This window comes from Homo sapiens, chromosome 20 (genome assembly GCF_000001405.40).
Source record: "Homo sapiens chromosome 20, GRCh38.p14 Primary Assembly".
NCBI classification, from domain to species: Eukaryota; Metazoa; Chordata; class Mammalia; order Primates; family Hominidae; genus Homo; species Homo sapiens.
The window spans coordinates 46,254,977-46,267,251 of record NC_000020.11 but is presented as its reverse complement, the minus strand read 5'-3'; the positions used below and the strand labels follow the sequence as shown (position 1 = coordinate 46,267,251).

The 12,275-nt window shown below is 49.9% G+C and overlaps 1 protein-coding gene across 5 annotated transcripts in view, besides 1 other annotated feature; it reads left to right on the top strand.

The window, feature by feature from the left end:
• CDH22 (cadherin 22) overlaps window positions 1-12,275 on the top strand; it is a 134,760-nt gene that overhangs the window by 41,247 nt on the left and 81,238 nt on the right. The gene's annotated exons all lie outside the window — the stretch shown is intronic.
• Window positions 8,655-9,155: an enhancer, noted in NCBI's record as "H3K4me1 hESC enhancer chr20:44886736-44887236 (GRCh37/hg19 assembly coordinates)". NCBI's record gives its function as "activates a minimal SCP1, AML or CMV promoter by ChIP-STARR-seq in primed H9 embryonic stem cells {active_cell/tissue: H9 hESC(primed)}" and the evidence as "EXISTENCE:reporter gene assay evidence [ECO:0000049][PMID:30033119]".

Genomic DNA, 12,275 nt, shown 5'->3' with positions numbered 1-12,275 from the left:
CAGAGGCTCTCAGGCCAACATCAGAATCTGCTAGAAGCTATCCCAGACTGAGGACAGGCTCTGGCACCAGACTTTCCTAGTTCAAGTCCTGGCTTCTCCCACTTCCTGGCTGTAATCTTGGACAAGTGACTTCACCTCTCGGTGCTCCAGTTTCTTTATCTGTAATATAACAATTATAATAAAACAGATGTGGCACAGATGAAGCAAGATAACCTATGGAGTGTGCTTAGCAGAGTGGTCAAAAAGTACAGCCTCTTCTTTTTGCTCATCAAAGGCACAGTCTCTGGCACATAGAAAGCACCCTATTAGAACATGTGGAAAAAGGCAAAAAAAAAAAAAAGCACCCTATAGACCTTCCTGTTAGTACTATTATCATCCTTACTGAATCTGGGGCTCCAGAGGCCTGGCAATGAGATTTTGAACAAGCCTCACCTTGCTATACACCGGCATGACCCTGTCCTCTGATGAGCCCTGAGAACTGCAGTTTGACCTTCCATTGTATAGAAGTCCAGGGCAGGGACTTGCCCAAGGTCACCCAGTGTTATGGGATCAAAGCCAAGCTCCAACCTACTCCACTTGCCGTCCAGCCTAGAGAGCTTTCTCCCGTACCACAAAGGGACAGATTCTTTAATGTCATCTGCTCAGGTTACAATAAAAATTAACTATCCCGAATATGTGCATCATCAAAGCAGCTCCAAGACAGAGAAGGGGCTAAGGGAGACTGGAATGAAATGTGTCACACATGCTCCTGGGGTCTCCAAACCTGCTCTGTAATGGCTCCTAGGAGGCCCCAGACACACACCAGCCTGCAGGTCCTTCTCTGCCTTGGTGAGACACAATGCTAGGCACAGGACGGGTGCTCCACAAGACCTTCAATGAGCAGAGCTGAGGCTGAGGCTTGGCCCCTGAATGACCCAGGTCCCAGTCCTCTCTCCCTGCACAGCTGTGCATCCTACGGACAGCCATAAGGCCACCTGGGGCCACCTCAGTTCCCACCCCAGCCCAGAGTAGGTGAGAGTGGGAAGAGAGGCCTTCTCCCCAAGGCTGCTACAGTAGAGACAGGATGTGTGAGGACAAAGGACCCTGCTGTACCATTCCCCCAGTCTCTGCCCCAGGAATCCTCTAAAACAGATAAACTTTAATAGACTCAGGTCCACAGAGAGCCTCCCTCTGGCTGGAGCCACATACCCAAAATCTGGGTAGGGAGAGAGAGAGAGAGAGACCCAGAGGGGGCATCTGGGCCCCCAGTAGTTCAGTAGGATGGAGGAGCTGGGATCAATGTGTGTGTGTGTGTGTGTGTGTGTGTATCTGTGTGAATGTGTGCACAGCTCCCAGATGTAGCAGACAAAACAATAGAACAACAGGGGGCAGGCAACCAGGAGGTGGAACAGGAAGAGAAGTAGGAAGAAGAAGAGAAGAAGGTGGAAGGGAAGGAAAAGTGGGAGAAAAGGGGAAAGAAGAAGAAAAAGGAGAATGGATGAATGGATTTCTAAGTCACGGTATATTCATGCAATGGAGTACTATGCAGCAGTGAAAAGGAACACATGCAAGAACAAAGACGAATCTCACAAACATAATGCTGAGAAAAAGAAGCAAGATGCAAAAGACCATTCAGTATGATATACAAGCTCAAAAACAAGCAAGACTAAACTAAGATGGTCAGAAATGCATAGTTGGGAGACAAACAATAAGGAAATGCAAGGAACTAGTCATAAAAGCCAGGACAGAAGGAACCAATGGGTTATGTTCAAGAATGGGACACACAGTAGGAGCTTCTGAGGAGGGGGCTATTTTCAGTATTTTGCTCAAAGTGTGGATTCATGGGTTCATTTTATGACTTTTCGTTAAACTATGCATGTATGATTTGTGCAGCTTTCATTATCAAGGCTGAATTGTACAATTTTAATTAATTATGAAAAGTAGAGAAAGAGGAGGAGGAAGAGGGGAAAAGAGCAAGGAGGAGGCGGTTTGGAGGGAGAAGGGCCTCCTGGGACTCTGCTTGGCTGGCACCATGGCAGGGCCCTGCCCCCATCCGGACGCGTTTGTAAAATGGAATAAATATTGACACGGCCAGGATGGTATTCAATTTGTCCTGATCACTGGGCTGCAGTGAGTTCTGACAGGGCGCGGTGTAAAACAGCAGCTCGGGATGTAATTTCTACTGTCAACATGATGTACAGCACGGCTCTGCCGGTGGCACCGGCACACGGGCAGGGTGGGGGCAGGGCAGGGAGACAGGTGCAGGCCAGGGGCACCTGAGGTGGAGGGTTCTAACAGGTTGCCCCTGGGCAGGTGAGCAGTGCTAGCCAAGGAGTCTGCATGTGTACACGGTATGTGTGTGTGCGCACGGTGTGTGTGCGCGCACGGTGTGTGTGTGTGCGCACGGTGTGTGTGTGTGCACGGTGTGTGTGTGTGCATGGTGTGTGTGTGTGTGTGCATACTCATACATGTTCATAATTTGCACGGGAGGTCAGGCCTTAAGGAGGGACTCAGGCCTGGGTTAAGTCACGTCAAGTAGCGTGGGGGAAGGACATGGTTCATGCTGAGAGCCAAACGCAGGCCTGTCCTTTCCAGCAGCCACTGAGCACCTCCCGGCCCATCCTCATTTCCCTCCCACTGCCAGAGCCTGTTTGAATTCCAGATCCTCCACTAACTAGCTGTGTGACCTTGGGCAAGTCCCTCAACCTCTCTGAGCCACTGTTCCTGATTCTGTAATAGAAATTTTAAAGACAGCTATTGTGAGGATTCAATCAGATCATTGATATAAAGTGCCCTGCATGGAACTCAGTGTTACCTCTTATTATTAGCTAATTGGATGGCACCATGCCTGGCACATAGTAAAAGCGCTATAAATGTTATCTATCATTATTCTCACTGACTCAGAATCAGCTCAAGGTATGCAACTGGCCTCTCTTTCTTCCTTCCCTGTGCCTGTGATCTGCCAAGGTTGTTCCCCAAAGGAACAAAGCTTGGGACACATTCCACTGTGTCCCTTTGCCTAGCCTTCTCATTGGAGTGAAGTGAGATTGTGAAGGGGATAATGATAACTTACTTTATGGGGTTATTGTGAGGAATAAATAAGCTAATGCACATAAAGTGCTAGAACAGTGCCTGGCTCTTAGTAGGTGATCAAAAAACGTCAGCTAAAACAAAAATAAAATCCGGGGAGTCACTCTTGATGTCTCTCCCTCCCTCGTCCGCTACATCTGATTCATCACCAACTCTGATCCATTTTGCTTCCTAAATATTCCAAATCTGTTACCTTTTCTCCATCCCACGCCAGCCTCCCTGGTCCGAGCCACCACCACCCTCTTCCTCAGATGCTGCCACCACCTTCTCACGGGTCCCCAGTTCCAGCCTTGTACATCCACAGTTGTTCTTCCAGCAACAAGCACAGTGACCTCTTTTAAGACACAACCTTGAACACATCTCCTCCGCCAAAAGCTCTTCAGTGCCTTCTGGTTGAGTCAAAATCTCAACTCCTCCAGGCCCGTCCTCAGCTGTTTCCCTAGCTTCTCCCCTCACACTCTGCTCTTCCCCTGGCCTTTCGGTCCCCTAAATATGGCTCTGCACATTCTGCCACCTGTGCCTCAGTACATCTCACTCATCCTTTGGGTTTCAGCTAAAAAACCCCTTCTCAGGGAACTGTTCCCTAACTTGCCCCACCCATCCCTAATGAGGTAGTGTCCCCTATAAATGTGGGGGCTCCTTGTACTTTCTCTTTGCAGACCTTGGCACAGTTGGTAATTGTGCATTTATTTGTGAGGTTGTTGGATGAGTAAATGTATCTCCCCTGCTTCACACACACACATGCACACACACGCACACACACACACACACACACAGAATGGAAGGCCATGGGGACAGGGACTTTGTCTGACTTTCTAACTGCTGCATACTTAGCCTGGCACATAGTAGGTGCTCAATAAATATTTGATGAATCCATAAGTGGAACAAGCATAGAAGAGCAGTCTGAGGGATGGGGTACAGCAGTAACCAGGCAACCCCATCATGTGTCCTTCCGTTCATCCATTCATCCATCCATCCACATATCCCTTCATGGATTCACTCACACATTCAGTAGTGCAAACTCTGATCACAGCACTGAAGTGTGAGCTGAAGGACAGAGAGCAAGAATGAAGCACCCACAGCCAGTGGGCAGAATGCTGAGGCCAGGACAAAGAAGAGCTTGGTTCTGAGACACAGGCTCAGATAAGTGTGAGCTCTCCAGGGTCAGGGGAGGAGGCTGAGAGACCACATGGAGGAAAGGGCAGTGGGGCTGGGCGCTGAACATTGAGTCAGAGCTGGACGTGGGACAGCAAGGGAGAAGGGCATTGTTGGCAGAGGCAAGAGCAGGAGCAAAGGCCCAGAGGCATGAATGTCATTAACAGCAGGTGGTTCCATCTGCCCAGGAAGAAAAGAGGCAGTGGCAAGATGGAGAGTAGGCAGGTCCCAATCAGGCAGGGCGTTGAGTGGGCCACGTGGGTAGTGGCTAAAGGTGCAGGCTTTGGAGCTGGCAGATCAGAGTTCAAATCCAGACTCCACAACATATCAGTTGTGTGACCTTGGGCCCATCACATAAACTCTTTGTGTCTCAGTTTCCTTATCTGAAAAATGGAGGCAAATAACAGTATTCACCTCAAAAGGCTGTGTGTGGAGTTATTGAGCATGAAAAACCTTTTGTTACTCTAAACAGTAATGAATGAACGCTAGGCCTGAGTCTGGGCTTTATCTTAAAGGGGAAAGGGAGCAAGGAAGGTTTGGAACAGGAAAACCATCCAGACTGAGCCAGGCTTCATGAAGACCTGTGCGGCAGCATGTTCGACATATAGCCTGGGGCGGGGGGCAAGACTGGGGGCCCCAGGTCAGCCTTTGCAGATGAGGTGACTGTGTATATGGGGTACATAAGACCCCAGCTCTGATCATCCCCTCTCCCCTGACCTTCCACCTTTGCCTTCCTGGGTGATGTTCAGCTACCAAGCCCAGAAGCTTTGGCATATCCTGCCCCCACTCCACCACCCCCCACCCCCTCAACACACACACACACAAATACACTCAGAGATGCAAACACCCTCTGTCCCAACACTACACGTGCATCACTCCCAGGCCCCAGAAACAGCCCTTGGGCTCAGCACACGAAGAGTAGACACCCATTTAGTCTCTCGCTCCACACTTATTGAGCACCTAGTATGTGTAGGGAGCTGTCCTTGGTGCCGGGATGTGGTGCGTGTGTATGCCACCCCTGCACACATCAGTGATGCACATGCATGCATGTGTTCAGCCACACACATGCTCATGTGAGTTGCAGGCACGCTAAGGCAGTAACTGGTTGCCTCCTTCATTTGTGGCTCCATCGTGCCTTATACCTAGGGGTAGGAGGCAATGAGAGGTGAGCAGAGACAAAGTGGCTCTTCCCAGCACCCCTCCATGCCTCAATAGCTCCTGCATTACACCGGGAGCTATTCTGGCCCAAAAGGAGAGCACTGAGCTGGTAGAAATAATTTTCCCCCAGGGAGAAGATGGCAGCCAAGCACAGAGAGCTCTGGGCTCAGGATCCAGCAGGCACAGTGCCGCTGGGACTCAGTGGGGGCAGACAGGAGCCAGACTGTCAGGCACCGCTCCCACTGGCAGCCCTGGAAGCCAGGCAAGCATGGAGAGAGGACACATACAAGCCAGGTGTGCCGGGAGAAGTGAGTGAGTAAAGGAATGAACAGATGAATGAGCTGCCTCTTCCTGAACTACCCTTTCCCCTAGCCTGAGTCTGGCGCTGGAGCAGGAGGCAACTCCCATACCCTGTGCAACTCTTCACTCTTCTTGACTCAGGCTGCACTATAGGCCTGATTAGCACAGTTGTTAAATAAATACATGACTGAATAAATAAATGGCTGAGTGGATGAAGATCTCTAAACTCTCCTCGCCTGGCCAGGATACTTTGTGCATAATAGGGTCCAGTAGTATTTGTCCAGGGACCAGAAATAATAATAACAACACTAGTCATTCTGATGACATTCACTAACATTTGTTGCCAAACACCACAGATTCCTTCACATGCCTCATCTCATTTACACCTTATGTTGGCCCTGGGAGGTAAATACTATTATCCCCATTTTTCAGATGAGAAAACTGAGGCTCAGAGAAAGGAAGCAAATTACCAAGGTCATACATACAGTAAAATAATGGAACTGGAACTCAAACTCTGGTCTGACTTTGGATCTCATGGTCTTAGGTCCCCTGAATGTTAAAAGGATTATCAGGAATTTGGGGGAGGAGGCAGGGGTGCAGAAGCCCCAGGCAGCTCCACAAAATCTGTTCTACTTTGTTCTGTCTGGGGGTCGCTCTGTGCAGCCCCACTTCTTGGTCTTGGCAGAGTGAGAGGACAGAAATCCCATGACAGGTAGGATAAGAATACCTTCCCCTGTCCATAGGCGGAAAGCCAGATGACAGGGGAAAGCCAGATGACAAGGGAGAGCCTGGAGCCACCAAGCTGGCAGTCATACAGCCTTGGCAGTGATGTTGCCAGAGCATTGAGAAATCAAGAAAGGACATGCTGGCCATCCAGCCAGACTCCGGAAGTGCAAGCAGCAGCAGTGATGCCCACAGCTGGCAACTCCCCAGTGAGAGGGAAGGTCATATTACCCAACCAGCCTCTGAAGTCTGTCTGGAGCAAGCCTCTCCTGAGTCCCTCCCAGGCCCCAGTTCTGTACTTAGCTCTGCCAGGTATGTGTGTGGGAACGGGGAAAGGGATGGAAGAAGGAGTAGGTGAGGTCTTTGTCCTTCGGAAGTTTGCCATGCAGCTGACAGCAAACCCCAAAGGGAGACCCAGCCAGACAGGCCTGAGGGAGTTCAGAGAAAAGAGAAAGAGAGTCTGGAGGAAGTAGAGGCTGGAAGTGGATTCAAGACCTAGAGTGGCTTAATTCAGTAGTTCCACAACATCTCCAAGGACACAGATTGTTCTGTCTTTTCTTAGTAGGCCTCTTTGGCCTCTTGGTGTTGTTCCCTTCATCAACCAAAAGTGGCTGCTATTGTACCAGCCATCACCTATTTCCACATGCAGAAAACAAAAAGGTCCTCCTTAAGGCATCTCTTTTTTAAGAATAATAAAAATTTCCCAGAAGCTCACAGAAGATATATTTTTATATTTCACTGACCAGAATTGTGTCACATAATACTTTCTAAATCAATTACTGGTAGGGAGAGGAGTCTGGCTCCTATTGGTTTAGACTAGTCACTATTAACAGAGGAGGGGCTGAGCACATGGCCAAGCTGAAGGCAAATGTTGAAATGAAATAGAAACAAGAAAGAAGGATGGGGGATGAATTGGCTGTTTGCAGCCAGCCATGTCCTTTGTATTTCCCATAACTCTTTTTTTTCTCATTTCATTTTTGTTCTTTTTTCTTTTGATAACTTTGGTGCCAACCATCACTCTTTTTATACACCATAAAACCCAGCCAGACTACACTATTCACTGTATCCCATTCATGTCCTAGGTTTCCTCTGCTCATGCTTGTTCTTCCAGTAATTTCCTACTTCATCTCCCTGTGTTCAAATCCTCCTCACCTTTCAAGGATCAGCTCCAATGCCCCCCTCCTCCAGGCAGCCCTCCATGGTTACTCAAGGAGATAGGAGCTCTTCCTCTGAGCCTTCACATCTTGCATGAGTTTCCTACACTTTCCATTTTCCAGGTTTTATTTTTTGTTGTGGGATTTTTTTGTTTGGGTTTAAAAAATATTGGTCTCTCCTGCTCATCTGCGAGCATGTGCATTTAATTTGCAGAGCACTTACAGGTGGTGTGGCACATAGTAGGTCTTCACTAGATTTTGGTTCACTGATAAATGAGCAACTGCCAGGGATTTCTCTCATTAGAATCTGGTAATTTGGCCACAAACCTGTTAAGGCTTATTTGTGAAACTTGCCAGGGACCCAGCACAGAACTTGGTACCTAGTAGTTCAATAAGTGTTCATTGAATGGATAAATGAGAAAATGGTACATGTGAGGTGCACTGTAAATGCTGAATGGCTGTTGCCACCCTCTAGATGGTGAGCTCTTTGGGAGAATTATGTCTTTAGGTTTCCATCATCTCAAGAGTACCTAACGGTCTGTCTGGCTCATTAGGGAATGTTCTGTAAGAGTTTGTGGAATGAATTAAGGAATGGATGTCTCTACCCTAGGCTGTGACTGCCTTAAGAACAGGGACCACATCTGGCCTATTTCCAAGGCAGAGAAGAGTCAAGTACACGTAGTGTGGCTGTAATGTGTATGGAAATGCTTCATCGCTATTGGTAAATAGCCGCTGTCCCAAACCCCCTGAAGACCACCCAACCCTGTCACCCTAGCCCCTACCACAGGGATCTCCTGGACCTCCCCTCTTCTTGGCCCCTGGGACCCTGCAGTCAGTGTGGTTGGTGTCTATGCTGCCTCAAGTTGTGAATATTTCTCACATCGTGCCTGCCTCCTGTGTGTGTCCCACAGAGTGACAGAGCCTCAACAGGACCCAGAGCACAGCAGGTGCTCGGTGACTGCCAGAAACTGGAGCTATGGGACTCTTCCCGAGGCTGCTGGGGAGCTGGGAGGCAGGGGGCACACCCAGGGTTGGGGCTGCTCTCCTCTTCCCATACCCACTAGAGAAACCCAGCCCTAGGCAGGAGCAGCAAGGATCTGCCAGGTCACAGGAGCCTGGGCAAGGACAGAGACTCACCTGTCCTGCTAGGGGGCTTAGGGCCCACAGGGGTCCCAGGCAAATGGTGTTGGCTCCGTCACAGTCTGGGCACATGGGGATGAGTCTGGCCGGGCCCTGCGGCAGGAGAGATGGGAAGAGTAGAGGAGGGGGTGCAGGGAGAAGGAGGCTCTTCTGGCCCTCCCCACACAGCTGAAGCTGCCCTGGTGGCATTGTGTGGATGCTGATTTGTGTCCTGAGCCTCAGTCTTGAGCCATCTCTACTGGGATGCGGTTGGGGGGTGGGGGCAACAGGCAAATGAACCTTCACAAATCCCAAGAGGGACCATCGCCCACCCACACATGTCCCCACCTTCCCTCCTCCCAGTTCTCTTGAACCTGTTCCAGTCATGTGTGTGCACCCACTACTCCACCAAGTCACTGCCAGCAAGGTCACTAATGACCTCCGCCCCACTAACTCCAATGGTCAAGTCAAAGTCCACATCTGACCTATCAGTAGGATCACATGATTTATCATCCAAACTGGGGGAACATTATTAACAGTTATGCCGTGGAGCTGTCCCAGGCAAAGTTGGACAGACACTTACCCCTCAATGGCAGCATTCGGCACAGTTCACCACTCCCTCCCTACAGCACTTTCTTCTGTTGGCTCCCAGGATATCTCCCTTTTCCTCCCCTTCTCTCTGTCAGTCTCTTGCTGTTTCCTCCTCATCTCCTGGATCACTGTAGCTGTGGTCCCCCAGCATTTAGTCCCCAGATCTCTTCTCCATCAACAGTCACTCCCTGGTGCTCTCACCCAGTCTCAGCTTTACATGCCACTCAAATTCCCAAATTGCTACCTGCAGCAGGACCTCACCCCTGAACTCCTAGCCATAGGTACAGGAGCCTGCTCCGTATCTCTGCTTTATGCCTAACAGGCTTTCGGGGTTTAACCTGTCCAAAAACTGATTGTAACACATCAAGGTCAGTTCCTGATCACCCCCCAAATCTGCTCTTCCTGCCGTCTTCAGCTCTGAATGAAAGGAAACGCCATCATTGCCGCTGCCCAGGCTGAGGGCATGGTCACACTCAGTTGCTGTCTTCCCTTGAACCCCATTTCTGACCCATCAACATATTCTGTGGCCCAGCCTCACTTTTCAGCATCTCCGCTGCTCCCCCTTGATCAAAGCCCCTGACTAGTCCTCTGCCGAATTATTGAAATATTGCCATAGGCTCCTCCCAACCCCAGCTTCTGACTATCTTAACACAATAGCCAGCATGATTTTTTTTTTTTTTCTTGAGACAAGGCCTCACTGTCACCCAGGCTGGTGTGATCATGTCTCATTGCAGCCTCGACCTCCCCAAGCTCAGGTGATCCTTTTCCACCTCAGACTCCTGAGTAGCTGGGACTACAGGCACATGCCAGCACACCCAGCTAATTTTTCTATTTTTTTGTAGAGACAGGGTTTTGCCATGTTCCCCAGGCTGGTCTTGAACTCCTGGGCTCAAATGATCCAGCTGCCTCAGCCTCCCAAAGTGCTAGGATTACAGGTATGAGCCACCATGCCTGGCCTTTTTTTTTTTTTCTTTTAGAGACAGGGTCTCACTCTGTCACCTAGACTGGAGTGTTAATGGTGTGATCATAGCTCACTGCAGCCTTGAAGTCCTGGGCTCAAGCAATCCTTCTGCCTCAGTCTCCCAAGTAGCTGGGACTACAGGCACATGCCACCATTCCTGGCTAATTTTTTTAAATAGTTTTTTGTAGAGACAGGATCTTGATATGTTGCCCAGGCTGCTCTTGAACCCCTGGCCTCAAGGAATCTTCCTGCCTCAGCCTCCCAAACTGCTGAGATTACAGGCATGAACCACTGCACCCAGCCCGGAATGATCTTTTAAAACATAAGTCAGATCATGTCACTCTTCTGCTCAAACCCTCTTAGGGGTCTCATCTCACTCACAGAAAAATCCCAAGAGAGCCTGTAGGCTCTGACTCCACCCCCACACTCTCTGACCTCATCTGCTGCTGCTTCCCCTGCACTCACTCCACTTCAGCAACACGAGACCCCCGATGTTCCTCCTTCCCACTAGACACATGCTGCTGACCTCAGGGACTTTGCACCTGCTGTTGCCTCAGCTTGAAACCCTCTTCTCCCAGCTTTGTGCACAACCCCTCTGTCCCTCACTTCAGATCTCTGTTTAAATCTCATCTTAATGACAAGGCCTTCCCTGGCTACCCTGTTTAAATGAGTATTTGTAATAACGATGATAGATGGATAAACAGCAAATCCCGCCATCCCCAGAACTTCCTGCCCCTTACTCTGCTTTGCTCTCTCCACTGCACTTGCCATTGTCTGACACGTTATTTGTTTATTGTCTGTGCCCCCACCTGGCAAGGACTCTACCTGTTTCTTTTTGCTGTGCCTAGAACAACACAGAGTGGAAACTCATAAATATTTGTGAAATGAAGGAATGCATATCAGATCGTCATGCACACTCAGTCACATATGTGACTGCAGACACATGTTCGCACGCACACAGAAGCCATAGGCATATATGTAGGCCCATGGGCAGACGGACAGATTATAGGAGGTGAGGCTGAAGTGTGGACAGGGCAGAGCCAACATTTATTGAGCCAGGCCTGGGCTCAGTTTTTAATCCCATTTGGGATTAAACAGCTCTGTGCAGTAGGCTGAGACCTGAGGACCAGGGAAGGCCACCAACGTGCCCCAGGTCTCATGGGAGGCGGTCCCAGGAGAGCTGAATGCAGCTGCAGGACTCCACAGCTGCCTCCCTGGACCAATTTTGAATGCCAGGACAGGGTTCTGTAGTCACCATCCATTCAGGAAAAGCAGCTGGAGCAGGAAAAGGAAGAAGGGAGGAAGGGAGGGAGGAGGCCGACATGTCTGTGGCAGCCCTAGCAGGGCTGTGCAGAGCAGTGAAGAGTTGGCAGGCTGCCAGGGCACCTAGCCAAGATGCCTGAGGGAGGACCTGTAGGCTGAGGTATGAAGGGCCAGGAAGGGGAGGGAGAGGTGAGGATGGGAGGGCCAGGGCTCCACCCTCAAACAGTAGTACAGATTGTGCCCTCACAAGGCGGGGCAGGCTTGCCCTGCCAGTTGTGACTCCGACACTGGGTTGCATTCACCTAGAGGTGCATTTTTTCCCATTCCCCAAAGATGCCTTATGCCTGAGGAGTCCAAGTCCCACGTTTGAGGCACTGCTTTGTCATGATGTATGCTTGGTAGAGTCCTCCTGGGCTCTACTTTCCCCCTCTGTAAAGTGGGGATCTTGGCCAGGCACGGTGGCTCACATCTGTAATCCCAGCACTTTGGGAGGCCGAGGTGGGTGGATCACCTGAGGTCAGGAGTTCAAGAACAGCCTGTGAAACCCCATCTGTACTAAAAATTAAAAAATTAGCCAGGTGTGGTGACATGCACCTGTAATCCCAGCTACTTTGGAGGCTGAGGCAGGAGAACTGCTTGAGCCGGGGAGGCGGAGGTTGCAGGGAGCCGAAATCACGCCACTGCACTCCAGCCTGGGTGACAGAAAGAAATTCCGTCTCAAAAATAAATAAATAAAATTTTAAAAATATATAAAGTTGGGATCTGACTCCAGGCCTTTGCCT